Genomic DNA, 14,543 nt, shown 5'->3' on the forward strand with positions numbered 1-14,543 from the left:
TATTATAAAACTATTACTACTGATATGCTTTGGCTGTGTCCCCACCAAAATCTCATCTTGAATTCTAGCTCCCATAATCCCATCATGGGAGGGACCCAGTGGGAGGTAATCGAATCATGGGGGCGGGTTTCTCCTGTGCTGTTGTCATGATAGTGAATAAGTTTCATGAGAGCTGATATTTTTATAAAGGGCAGTTCCCCTGCACACGGTCTCCTGTCTGCCACCATGTAAGACGTGCCTTTACTCCTCCTTCACATTCCTACATGATTGTGAGGCCTTCCCAGCCATGTGGAACTGTAAGTTAATTAAACTTCTTTTTCTTTATGAATTACCCAGTCTCGGGTATATCTTTATTAGCAGCATGAGAAGCGACTAATACAGTAAATTGGCACTGCAGAGTGGGCGCTGCTGTAAAGATACCCAAAAATGTGGAAGCGACTTTGGAACTGGATAACAGGCAGAGGTTGGAACAGTTTGGAGGGCTCAGAAGAAGACAGAAAAATGTGGGAAAGTTTGGACCTTCCTAGAGACTTGGAGGGCTCAGAAGACAGGAAGATGTGGGAAAGTTCGGAACTTCCTAGAGACTTGTTGAATGGTTTTAACCAAAATGCTGACAGTAATATTGACAATAAACTCCAGGCTGAGGTGGTCTCACATGGAAATGAGGAACTTGTTGAGAACTAGAATAAAGGTGACTCCTGCTATGTTTTATCAAAGAGACTGGCAGCATTTTGCCCTTGCCCTAGAGTTCTGTGGAACTTTGAAAATGAGAGAGATGATTTAGAGTATCTGGTGGAAGAAATTTCCAAGCAGCAAAGCATTCAAGATGTGACTTGGGTGCTGTTAAAAGCATTCAGTTTTATTCATTCAGAAGATATGGTTTCAAATTGGAACTTATGTTTAAAAGGGAAGTAGAGCATAGAAGTTCAAAAAATTTGCAGCCTGATGATACAATAGAAAAGAAAACTCATTTTCTGAGGAGAAATTCAAATCAGCTGCAGAAATTTGCATAAGTAATGAGGAGCCAAATGTTAATCACCAAGCCAATGGGGAAAATGTCTCCAAGGCATGTCAGAGGTCTTCATAGCAGCCACTCCCATCATAGGCCCGGAGACCTAGAAGGGAAAAATGATTTCGTAGGCGGGCCAGGGCCTTGCTGCTTTATGCAGTCTCGGGACTTGGTGCCCTGTGTCCCAGCTGTAGCTAAAGGGGCAAAGGTACAGCTCAGGCTGTTGCATCAGAGGGTGCAAGCCCCAAGCCTTGGCGGCTTACACATGGTGTCAGGACTGTGGGTGCAAATAAGTCAAGAACTGAGGTTTGGGAACCTCCACCTAGATTTCAGAGGATGTATGGAAATGCCAGGATGCCCAGGCAGAGGCATGCTGCAGGGGCAAAGCCCTCATGGAGAGCCTCTGCTAGGGCAGTGTGGAAGGGAAATGTGGAGTGGGAGCCCCCACACAAAGTCCCCACTAGGGCACTGCTGGGTGGAGCTGTGAGAAGGCAGCCACTGTCCTCCAGTCCCCAGAATGGTAGATCCACTGACAGCTTGCACCATGCACCAGGAAAACCCACAGACACTCGACACCACCCCATGAAAGCAGCCAGGAGTAGAGATGTACCCTGCAAGACCACAGAGGCAGAGCTGCCCAAGACCATGGGAACACACCTCTTGCATTAGTGTGACCTAGATGTGAGACATGGAGTCAAAGGAGATAATTTTGGAGCTTTAAGATTTGACTGCCCAGCTGGATTTCAGATTTGCACGGGGCCTGTAGACCCTTTGATTTGGCCAATTTCTCCCATTTGGAATGGGTGTATTTACCCGATGCATGTACCCCCATTGTATCTAGGAAGTAACTAACTTGCTTTTGATTTTACAGGCTCATAGGTGGAAGGAACTTGCCTTGTCTCAGATGAGATTTTGGACTGTGAACTTTTGAGTTAATGCTGAAATGAGTTAAGACTTTGGGAGACTGTTGGGAAGACATGATTGGTTTTGAAATGTGAGGACGTGATATTTGGGAGGGACCAGGGGTGGAATGATATGGTTTGGCTGTATCTCCACCCAAATCTTATCTTGAATTGTAACTCTCATAATCCCCACGTGTTGTGGGAGGGACCCAGTGAGAGGTAATTTAATCATGGGGGTGGGTTTTTCCCATGCTGTTCTCATAATAGTGAATAAGTCTCACAAGATCTGATGGTTTTATAAAGATCAGTTCCCCTTCACATGCTCTCTTGCCTGCCACCATGTAAGATGGGCTTTTGCTCCTCCTTTGCCTGTGCCATGATTGTGGGTCCTCCCCAGCCATGTGGAACTCTGAGGCCATTAAACCTCTTTTTCTTTATAAATACCCAGTCTCAGGTATGTCTTTATTAGCAGCATGAGAACAGACAATTATAGTTACCATGCAGAAGCTGACACAAACTGCCGTTTTTCTTGCTATTAGTACTGAAAAACTGCCGAATCTGCAAAAGTATTTAATGAAAACACAAACAACTGGTCAATTTTAAAATGTATTTATGTATATACAGATACAGAAGATACAAAATGAAGTAAAATAAAACTTGGGAAAGTAAAATATTCAGAAAAAGCCTAACTTTAAAATAGAAAAACATAAAATCTCTAAAGACTAATACCCCTCATTTAAAAACAAACACAATTATCCCATTGGCTATTTTAGCTCTCCTGGGTTGAATCTTATGCTAGGGAAACAGAAAGCCAAACTGTCCCACTGTGACCTGTGAAACCCTGAAAAATAATTGGTTCTCTAATCAAAAAGAAAAGAAGATTAAAGGAGAAAGAAGAGCCCTGCTTCAGGAAGAATGAGTCTAAGGTAATATGATGATAGAAGAGTGGACTGGAAAATGACTAAGCCAACAATTAAATTAAAATAAATTGCTTATTTTGTGTGAAATGTCGCTGCAATAGATCTTTTGATAAATGTGATTTCCCTCAGTGATAAAATTTTTCCAATTAAAATAAACTTTATATACTGTATTTTTAATTATCCATTTAAATATGCAATTATAATAACATATATTTTCCATGTTGTGATAAAATTATATATATTCATATCCATTATTAGGTCTGCGTAACATTTGAACTAGGAAAAGGTCTCTATTGCCAGAGTCTCTATCACATGAACAGAAATATTCAAGTAAAAATATGTTGTGAAACATCATAAAACAAGAGTAACAATCTGTGTTTTAAAATAAAAACTTTAAGATAAGGAAACTTAGTTTATCAACAGGCAATGTAGACATTGTTATCTTTTAAAAGTTAATAATGTATAAATCTTTTCTCTAGATTAGAACTAGTTTCTCTTTCAATCTTAAATAGTAGTGAGAGTCACAAAAAATGTTTTTAAATGCCAATGGCTCTTTAGGTTTATAGAAAGTATTTCCAGGTTTAAAAACATATATGAAATAAAAACATATATAATTTAATTATTTCCCAGAAAAAAATGAAGTTAGTAGTATATATTGTAAACTGCAAAATATATAATACACTATGATACTTGATGCACATTAATTAAATATAATATTTTGAAAAGGAAGGGGAAAAAATCTTTCCTGGTACTTAAGAAAACACAATATAAGAATTTTTCCTAAAAATCTAGAAAGGCATTTTTGGCTGTGGTGACAAAAACATATGTTAATGTGACTTGATATAGATCTAAACTTCAATAAACTTTTTTTTTTTTTTTTTTTTTTTTTGAGATAGAGTCTCGCTCCTGTTGCCCAGGCTGGAGAGCAATGGCACGATCTCGGCTCACTGCAACCTCCGCCTCCCGGGTTCAAGCGATTATCCTGCCTCAGCCTCCCAAATACTTGGGATTACAGGCATCCGCCATCATACCCTGCTAATTTTTGTATTTTTGGTAGAGATGGGGTTTTACCATGTTGACCAGGCTGGTTTCAAATTCCTGACCTCAGGTGCTCCACCCACCTCAGCCTCACAAAGTGCGGAGATTACAGGTGTGAGCCACTGCACCCAGTCTTCAATAAACCTTTTGTGAATAGAATAAATGATTTAAGAAGTTGAGTCAAAATGCCCCAGGACTCCTAAAATGGCCTTCCTATAAAAGGAATGCAAGCTAAAAGAAAGTGACATAACACAAATATGTTCATTTAACTGTGAAATAAGAAATTTTATGGCATAGAGTTGTTCCACAGCCTCTGCTGCCAAAGATATCAATGCCCTAATTTCTGGACCCAGTGGATATTTTACCCCACATGGAAAAAAGGAACTTTGCACATGTGATCAAGGTTAAGGATTCTGAGATGGGGAAGAGCAGAATGGATTACCCAGGTGGGCCCAATTTAAGCCCGTGTGAGTCTTTAAAAGAACCTTTTGTAACTTAGGTCAGAGTTAGAGAAGGAGATGGAATCATGGAAGCCAGGCGAGAGAGATCTAACAAAATGACTTGCTCGGCTATTGCTGGCTTTGATGATACAGGAAGGAGGCCACAAGCTGAGGAATGTGGGTGGCCTCTAGCGACTGGAAAAGGCAAGGAAACACATTCTTCTCCAGAGCATCAAGAACATGGTCCTGTTGATTTTAGATTAGTGAGACCCATACTGGACTTATATAGAATTAGAAGATGATAAATTTGCATTTCTAAAGCTGCTAAATCTGTAGTAATGTGTTATAGCAGCAATAGAAAACTAATACAAAGGCCATTTGTGAGCATAATGATTCTTCCTGTCTCTAGCTAAGCTAAGCTGAAATTGAAGGGAAAACTAGGAAAAATAGATGAGAAGCTAACCTAGAGTTCTCACATCACTGGGATATTGAATTAACCAATTCTAGGACCACCAACCACCAGACTTCTTGTTTTAATCATTCCCTGCAGGCAAATTTCCTCAATGATTCACAAGACAAGACTGATTTATATACACTAATACAGAATGTAAAATTCTAAGGTTTTTTTCCAATCACAGATTTGGGGGGCTATAAGTCATATTCTGAGTTGAATAATTTTCACTTCAAGAGTTCTGTCCTCCTCATCTATTACCTGTGAAGCTAGTAGGGAAGTATAAATATTCACTTTCATTTAAGCTAAAAACTAAAGACATTTCTTTATGTGTTTCCTTAATAATTTGTCACCAGTTTAGGAAACAAGTATTTAGTTGAACCGTGTGAAGGCTGCGATTGTCAAAATGGTATAATGGCATATAGTTCACTCAACTAATTTCTATTAGCTTGCACCACACAAATGGAGGAGAAAAAAAGGAGTAATCCATTCCTAAAAAATTATCACTCTTCCAAACCTTCTGCTAGCAATCTATGAAACTAAAAACATTAAGAGTTATCACGCCTCCTGCAAACCCTTGGGAGAATTTAGCCATACGCTTTATCTGGCACTCTTATTTGCCTATCAAATAAAGGCTCTCTATGCCTTAATTCAACCCAGTTCCATAATTATATTGAGCCATCTCTACCATCCTCACTAATCTCTGAAAATGTAAATAACTGTCAAAAATAATGAATTATTAGCAAAAACAAGTAATATTTTATGAGACTGAATGAGCTTTTCAAGATCACCCCCAAAGTCACCAGTTCTATGCTCTAAAACTGAATCACAACAAGAAAAGCAGTTTAGAATCTCAGCTTTCAAATCTCAAAATTACAAATATTATTAGGCCCCAGTCCCATAAATGAGTCATCAACTGAAAGGAAAAAAGTCATGGAAAAAAAAAATCAGCAAATAAAAACGAGCTTTATATTTATTCCTGATTCAACAAATCCCTGTCTCGAGAAACTTAATGAAGCACTTGACATTTAAGACATACATAAAAATGAAACTAGATATACAGAATAATCTATTATTATTTTCTAAAGTTAATGGTATGAACTAGTGTTACAGTAGTCTCCATAAGTGGCTATTAACATAGGTCAGTTAACACAGTAGTTTCATGATTTAGAAAGTTTCACTTGAAAGCAAGGCTACAGTGAACATAGGCCATTTAACTTGTTACATTGTGGAAGATTCAGAGATGATACACAAAACTTTACAAGTTGAAATGAGTTCTGTATTCTCAACATTTAAGTTCAGCTAACATTTCCTGAGCAACTACAATGAGCTGGGCACTGCAAAAGATGCTTTACAATATGCATTATATAATCCTCACAATAACCTCATGATATGGGTATTATGTCCCCCATTTTATAGAGGAAAGAAACTACGCTGTAAAAGCCAGGGTCACACACTTGTAGGGTGGACTCCACAACATCCCTCACTTCGCGTGTATATTACACAGCATGGTGTTAGTATTTACAGCTCAAATACTTACAGAAGTGAATAGAGGTACGAAATGATGAAAGATGGTTTTAATAAAAAATGGCAAGTTTTTAAAGCCTTTAATATACATTGTGGAATGAGGGTGAACTGCTGTGGGGCAGTGGTAAGGTGGCAGAAGATGAGAGGAAAATTATTTTAAATCAATGCAGAGCACTTTAAATAAAACATAATAGGATTTCTTTTAATCAGAGAAGCAGCATGGCATAGCACAAAGAGCAATGGCTTTAGACTCGGATCTGTATTCCATTCAGAGGGGCTGCTTCTTTTAGCTGAAATTCACCGAAGAATGTAACTTTCTTATATATAAATGTATACAATATCTGCCTTGATTCTTTCACATAAATGTTTCTGGGAGCAAATAAAGTAACATAAGCAAACATTTGACTAGTAAAAAATACATCAATAATATGTTGTTTTATTATTATCTAATTAATGAGTTTCATATTTTGTCCAGATTTGACCTAAGTATACTTTTATTAATAAATGCATCAGAGTAGTCTGCTAAAGTGAGATTCAAAAATGGACAGTCTGATGTTGAAACTGCCTTAAAACATTATTCTAAGTTGGATGAAATATTTCATTACATGTATTGGTTCTTTGAATTAAAAAAAAGAAAAAAAGGCAATATAAATTTAAATAGGCAGCAGTTAAGCTGAGGCTCAGGCCCAGGTCTTTGATGTTACTTCACTCTCACCACTGCACAAATTAGAGAGTCTAAATTAATTCTTAACCTTTTTTGCCAAAGACCCCATTGACAGTCAAAGAAGTGGACCCTTTCTCAAAATAGTATTTTTAAATGCATAAACAAAAATACATAGGATTTCAAAGGAAGTAAATTATACTTGAATGCAGCTATCAAAATGCATTAAACAGCAGTTTATGAAATAGTAATACACATGTGAGGAAGCAATGTAGATGTGCTGCTCAGATCTCCATTTAGGAAGAACTTTCCATTCAGCCGCAAGGAGTGCATTTAGCTGACAGGCTTCAAGTTGTTAGCACCTTTAGAATCCTCCTTAGCTTTTGAGTCCAGGCCACACTCCTCCTGGGCAGCCCCCAGCCAATGGCTGAGCCTGGCACAAGTAGTAAGGACTGCCATTAGGACCCAACGAGGGACTCCCCTCACAGGCATCATTTGTTCCAGAGCTCCTTCCTGGCTAGACTGGCTGAGAATTTATCAGGTTTACACCATGGTCTAAGGTTTTTCCCGCCCGGTCTTGCATCCTGACCCTTAAAAAAAAACACATTTACACTCCAGCATCTCTGTGTCTGCTTCCAGGTGGAAGCAATCAACAAAATCTGCTTCTTTATTAATGAATTAAATAACAAGATCTAGTTGCAAGTCTAATAACTACCTTAATTTTGAAATACTGATCATTTTAAATGATATTTCAACTTAACTAAAATAATTCTAATGTATTTTGAAAGTATATGTGAATTGTACTCATGGAAACTTAATAGGTACTGCTATGTTTGTTACCTATAATTGAAGAAAAAGCTAAATTTCAATTAGAGGTTAAAGTATGTGGGTTTTTTTTCCTATTCAAGTTCAGACCCCAGAATTCTATTTGCAGACCCCAAGTTAAGAATCCTGGGATAAAGTGTCTGATTTTGAAACATCCATTCTTTTAAGATACAGAGATGCACTTAGACAAGTGAAAGCTGTGGTTAACAAAAGGTCTCTAACCTGGCTTACCTACTCAGATGCCAACGCACATGTGAAAGCTTCTATTAAATGCACAGAATACATTATAAGATCATATGCCCAAATGATTTAACCTTGAGGGACAAGAACAGCTTATCTAAACACATGAATGCATAATCACCTAAAAATCTAAACTGTGAAATTCAAGATTCTAAAATATATAATAAAGTTATTTTTATACAGATTTTTCTAAGAATATACTATACTGTTTAACATCAAAATGCTACATAGAATTTACTACTTACTATATTATACCATTTATTTGCTATACTATTTATTTAATACCAAATTGCTATATAGCATTTAATCTAGCAAGAAGTCCTCTGTATCTACTTCTGACTCTCCTATCTTGACCCTATTCTCTTCCTGTGTTCCAAGGATGGTATCAGGTTACCATTCTAACTCTAGGTGATTCCATCTCTTCTAGCCAGGCAAACAGTGTATGTAATGGGGGGGAGGGGAAGGGGGAGAACAGGTAAATGAATAGCTAGATTTACAAATTTTTCTTCTTAAATAGAGACAGGGTCTCACTCTATCACCCAATCTCTACTTTTGTAGAGACAGGTCTCAATACATTGCCCAGGCTGGTCATGAACTCCTGGCCTCAAGCAATCCTCCTGTCTTGGCCTCCCAAAGCACTGAGATTAGAGGCATGAGCCATTGTGCCCAGCCTCAAAATATTATTAATGCCCTAAGATTACAATAGTGCATTCAGAAGGATAAGCCTCATTTAAATTTCCAGGTGAATAATAACAAGCACTAATTTGAGCCAGAGTCTTGAATGACAGAACATGATGCAGACAAGGCAAAGAACTGCCTAAAATAGGGAAGTGAACTTTAAGCAATCGGAGGGCAACTGGAATTGCCCTGGTGAAATGGAGAGTAAGGCAGAAGACAGAGAAAATGGAAGATAAATTCTGAGACAAAAGGTGTGAGATAACAACAATGAAATGTAACAACTTTATAATTTTGTTAAGGGATGATAGCTACGGACACACCACTAAGAACTTACTACCAAGATTAAAATATCAAGGTCAACTTGTAATATGGAAAAGCAACAGTATCCTCCAATCTACCATTCGTCAAGTGACTCCAGTCAAATCCATTACCCTAGTATCTTTCCTTTCTCCAGTAGAAGTAGGAAAGGAGAAAAAAGAAGGAAAAAGCTATGTGTATGTACATACACACACCAATACACATACACCCTAGTTTCCTCTCTTTCTGTTTGTAACATCTGTACAGTATGCAAGAAACATGTCTATTTATAGGGATTCAAAACAGACATGTTTTTTGTATACTGTACAGATGTTACAATGCATAAATTTCTACCACACTATACCAAAGATATGCTGTAACTAAGCATTTAACCAAAGCATTAGGTGGACTTGCAAGTCTTCCTTGGCTCCAAGCTAAATAAATCCACTTTCTTTAGCCTCTGTCTTTAGTTCCCATTTCGCTAAAGCTTTCAAAATAAATTTCCATTTCTTCCGCACCCCAACAGAGAATATACTATAACTGGTAACAATAAGATCCTTTAATGGGAAGATAAGATATTCTTGACCCATTTCATAATTTCTTTAAGTCTTTACTACTTTTGAGATTCAGCCACAGACAAGAACCAAATGATATGTCCCTAGAGAAATATTTCATTCTCTACTGACTTTCTCCCCAATCTTTCCAAATCAGTATTTGTGAAATATTCTGTTCTTTTCAGGAAACTTTACTATCTATAAAACATGTTGCATTTATTTTGGCATCATCTCTTTATTAGCATGCATTACAAAAAAACATATTTCTATGTGTTCACCTTAATGTAGCCTTGTGAGGTAGTTTAAAAAATTTTATACACATTTGTTTGTATAGAGGAATAAATTATGTTTCAAACACAATGCAACATCTTGAACACCGCCAAGTTGCTGGGATAATCCACGTTTATCACCTACTTCCTCAATTCTTTGTCCACTGAACTATGATGTCAGAAATCTAAGCTTGATTTGTTTTTAAGTGGATAATCCATTAACTGTTTCCATATGCCATAACTATTCAGTTGAGAAATAATTTATAAACCAATTTATGGGCCCTATCTGGCAAAAATGACACACCTGTTATAAAATATGATTACTTCAGAAAGCTAACAATTGTGGAACCACATTTTCATAATAAATTAGTCTAAGTGAATTAGACTATTCATATACTTTCAGAAAGCCCTTTAATCCCTATTAACAGTTTGTGAATAATGAAAGTAGTTAATATTAATTTTACTTGACAAATCCAACACCAATAACCTGTTAGTATACTCTAATCCATTTTCCAACAGCCTGTAAAAATTAACCAACAGATGCTTCCAATCTGGTAAAAAAAAAAAAAAAAATACATAGGTCATTAGCATTATTTTGATGATACCAAATGTTCAATATATGAATATTATGATTAAATTTCAGAGAGATAGATAAACAATCTTTTTTTATAACCTTGTTAAGTCTTAACAGAAGCTGAATTTAGTAAAATGTCAGTCTTTTCTAAAATCAAAATCAGCATTTGTTATTCCACTCCTTGTTATTATGCTTCAACTAAGTACTTGACTGAGTTTCATCAGGAATGTAAAAGCAACATGAGTATGGGAAGCACACCTGCCTTATTCATGCTGGTATCCCCAATGTCAAGCATGAGGCACAACATGCAATATGCACCCAATAAATAGTTATTGAGTGGAACAGTGGTAGCCAATAAGAAAAAGTGGAAGGTATGAAAGAGGAGGTATGAGAAAAAGAAAAAACATAATCTGGAAAAGTGCTTATATACATTTCCAGAATAATTTAAAATACAGAAAGCTAAGATGTCTCCCAAAAACTTACAACAGAGAGAATCAAGAAAACTGAAGTGAGCTACTTAACAGCAAAATAAAGTGTAAAAGAAAATGATGTAAGTGAATCAGGAAAAAATTACTGATTTTTCACAGGAAAAGGATTAGAGAGGATTCCTATTCCTCTACAGATATGGCACAAGGTACTTTCCCACAGAAGCGTTGTTGTAAATGGTCACAAAGATTAGTTTAAAAAGCAGAATAGGTAAGATCTAATTGGAAAAAAAAAAGTAGGAATGTAATAAAAGGCAACAGGAATTAAGAGGAAAGAGCCAAGCCCTTACCAAGAATATCTTGGTAATATGTAAATGTAGGTAGGGTTGGATAGTATCACAAGAAGCCAGAATTGTTTTGCCATCAGGAGACCAGGAGAAAAGATCTCAGCTGAGATACACTAAAGATTAAACAAGATAATATGAAGAGAACCCAGCTGAGGCACTGATATATCACGTATGCACAATATCTGATATAGATATTAGCTCCTTTTCCAACTCTAAGTGTATTAGACCTGTAAATCCCAGTAGTCTAAACATTAGAAGTCCTGAAAACCTAAAGTAGTGTCTACCATAAGAAAAAAGCCCCACTTACTTGACAACAAATAAAGTCTACATGACAGAAAACTTCAAGGATCTCTTTAAATGATTGGATTCAGTTCCTTTGTTCTTACTACCCAATTTGAATGCTTGGGAAGCACAAAGGATTGGCATCTATCATTTAAATGCCTGGGATGGAATGTCCATCTTTGTAATCAAAGAAATAGCCTCGGTTCTCAGTCCAAACAGTTACTACTGCAATGAAAAACAGAGATACACCATTTCTCTAAAAAACCCACTATTCTTCAGTAATTACCATCCTTCCCTACCTAGTTGTGATGAAAATCAGCCAGCAGCCAATGCCTCTACCTCCTGCACTGGCTTGCGAAAGGGTGGAAAGACAAATGGATTTTCACCTTGGAGTGAACAATACATAAGTGACCAGGTTTACTTTTGTTTGGGGGTTTGCCTGTTTTTGTTTTTTTGTTTTTTTGTGTTTTTTTGAGACATAGTCTTACTCTGTTGCCCAGACTGGAGTGCAGTGGCGTGATCCTGGCTCGCTGCAACCTCTGCCTCCCAGGTTCAAGCGATTCTCATGCCTCAGCCTCCGGAGTAGCTGGGACTACAGGTGTGCACCACCATGCCTGGCTATTTTTTTTTTTAATTTTTTTTAGTAGAAATGAGGGTCTCATCATGTTGGCCAGGCTGGTCTCAAACTCCTGGCCTCAAGTGATCAACCCACCTCGACCTCCCAAAATGCTGAGATTACAGGCGGGAGCCATTGCACCCGGCCATAGTTTTGAATTCTGCAGCAATTACAAAATTGATTCAAACAAAGTATGTTGGACTCAGGGAGATACGTGAATGTAACATTTGGACCCAATGCCTCAGCAGCCAGGCCATGAATAAAAGACCACAAGTAGACCTGTCTACTTGACCAGTCCTGTCTAAGCTCTCTGGACATCTTTCTCTTTCCTTCCTTTCTGATCTTTCCTATTAAATGTCTATATAAAATCCTGTTTCTCTGAACGTAGCAATGACTGGCCTTTCCTATAAAATACTCTGAAGTGTTTTACATGTAAATACACATTTTAATTGTCATATATTCTCCTTGATTGCCAGATGACCAGTAATGCCAAAAAGCACTCTTAGGACTCCTCAAATAATGCTTTCTAGGAATTATTCTTTAAAATGAAGTCCCAAAAAAATAGTCACCTTTACAGCTCATCTCTGCTTACCACTGAGAAATGTTAGCAGGGCTCGGAGTCACAACCCTGGGCTTCCCCACTCTTTGTGTTCCCCCTGGAAATGTCATCTACTGTCACAGAAAAAAAAGAAAGCAGCATTTGAGTTGAATTGAGACAGAAGGTATCATAGTCCTCTGCCAGCCTCTAAGTCAAGTAAAGAGATTCCAGGCCAAAGGACCAGCAGTACAAAGGCAGAGAGAGATGGAAATATGGAGTATGCAAAAAATGATCACCTTTTCACCTTAATCTTTCTAACTAGTATTAGATAGAGCAAATACATCATTTTTTTATTCAACCTTGAATCTCAAGGCTAAAGTTAGATGACTTAAGAATTTTTTAAAGGTCCAATTATTTCATTTAGGGCTAACATTGCAGCTAAATTAAAGACATGCTAACAAGTTTCCCTTTTGAGCCTCATTAATTAAGAAAGTAATCAGAGTAAGGAGAAAAAGAGAGTAGCTGTATGGCAGAATTACTTAAATAGTTTTTAGGTACCACCATTTGTACCTACTAGGAAAGCAAAAGGAAAACTAATCAACTCCAGATTATGAAATCTGAAATTCTGAAGTGTTTTACATGTAAACACAAATTTTAACTGCCATGTATTTTCCTTGATTGCCAGAAGAGTACACTAATCTTATTTGAAGAAAATTTTGATCCTCCATAATCAAAAGGTAAAATTAAAATCTTATTCACAAATTTACTAGGGTGAGCTTGCTGAGAAAATTCTCCCTGTGTTCAAAGACCAAAAATATACCATTTTTAATACTTTAGTCAGGATAAATGGTACTCAAAAATATCTGTTAACTGTTTTTATCAAATTCTAGAAAACTACCTTAATTTACAATTACCTTTTGGAGAGAGTTTCTAATTTACATTAATAATTTCTTAATTTACAATTACCTTTTAGAAAGAGATTCTAATCTTTCAGAAACTCATTCAAAGGAATACTAATACATTTTTAAAATATCTGCCAGCATTCTTTGGCTGCTGTGCTCAAGTTAAACAGATACATAAAGCATCTAGCATGGTGCCTGGCTAACAGTCAACATTTAGGAAGTCAACTCAACCCTCTACACAAAGGTCTCTGACCTGTATCCATCCAGTACAATCTCTCCCTGCCACCTCTTCCTTTGTTCTATGAGCCCAGGGATATAGGTGGCATAAGTCTATAGTGAAAAATTTCTTTTTGAAAATTAAAAGGTAATGATTGATCTAAGTGTTTTGCACTACAGACCTAAAATGTAAGTTTTATATAATACTTAAAAATTCTGTGTGGATATCAGCCTTGAAATGTAAGTAGCAGGCCCACGAAATTGGATGAAATAAGTTCAATTTTCACTTATGTAATACCTAAACAATTTTTTAAAAATCACACTGCACAGGTAAAACCTATCACAAAACATTTTGGAAAATGAATGCCATTGCTTTTAATGAAAAGATCATATAACCTACTCAGATACTTCTCTTTCAAGCTAACTTTGAAGACATTATAAATCTGATATTTTTATCCCATGTGACTCATAGCAATTAATTAAATTATGTGATAGTCACTGTAATTTTTTTTGGATTATACTTTAAGTTCTGGGATACATGTGCAGAACATGCAGGTTTGTTACATAGGTATACACATGCCATGGTGGTTTGCTGCACCCATCAACCCGTCATCTACGTTGGGTATTTCTCCTAATGCTATATGCTATCCCTCTCCTAGCTCCCCTAGTCACTGTAATATTAAAGGGTAGTAAAATTCTAACTACAAGAAAGCACACATTTTGTTTTTCTATTTTTCAAACTGAAGGACCTTCTCATGCCAAAACTGTCACAGAAAATATCCTCTTTTACAAAAGTCTAATTTATCCCAATGGAATATCTTCAAAAATAATA

The 14,543-nt window shown here is 36.7% G+C and overlaps 1 protein-coding gene across 19 annotated transcripts in view; it reads right to left on the reverse strand.

Annotated features, from left to right (window-relative positions):
* The window catches only part of DIAPH3 (diaphanous related formin 3), a 498,346-nt gene that overhangs the window by 289,590 nt on the left and 194,213 nt on the right, over nucleotides 1-14,543 (reverse strand). For 2 of the 19 annotated variants that reach the window (XM_047430701.1, XM_011535263.3), the window contains one exon: nucleotides 5,708-10,362. The exons of 16 other annotated variants lie outside the window; for them this stretch is intronic. In XM_047430701.1, coding sequence (XP_047286657.1) covers nucleotides 10,223-10,362 — 140 coding nt within the window. In that variant the 3' untranslated portion in view covers nucleotides 5,708-10,222. Of the gene's footprint in view, nucleotides 1-5,707; nucleotides 10,363-12,156; nucleotides 12,728-14,543 lie in introns of those variants that run through there. One more of the 19 variants, XM_011535265.3, reaches the window with a different exon arrangement.

This window comes from Homo sapiens, chromosome 13 (assembly GCF_000001405.40).
Source record: "Homo sapiens chromosome 13, GRCh38.p14 Primary Assembly".
NCBI classification, from domain to species: domain Eukaryota; kingdom Metazoa; phylum Chordata; class Mammalia; order Primates; family Hominidae; genus Homo; species Homo sapiens.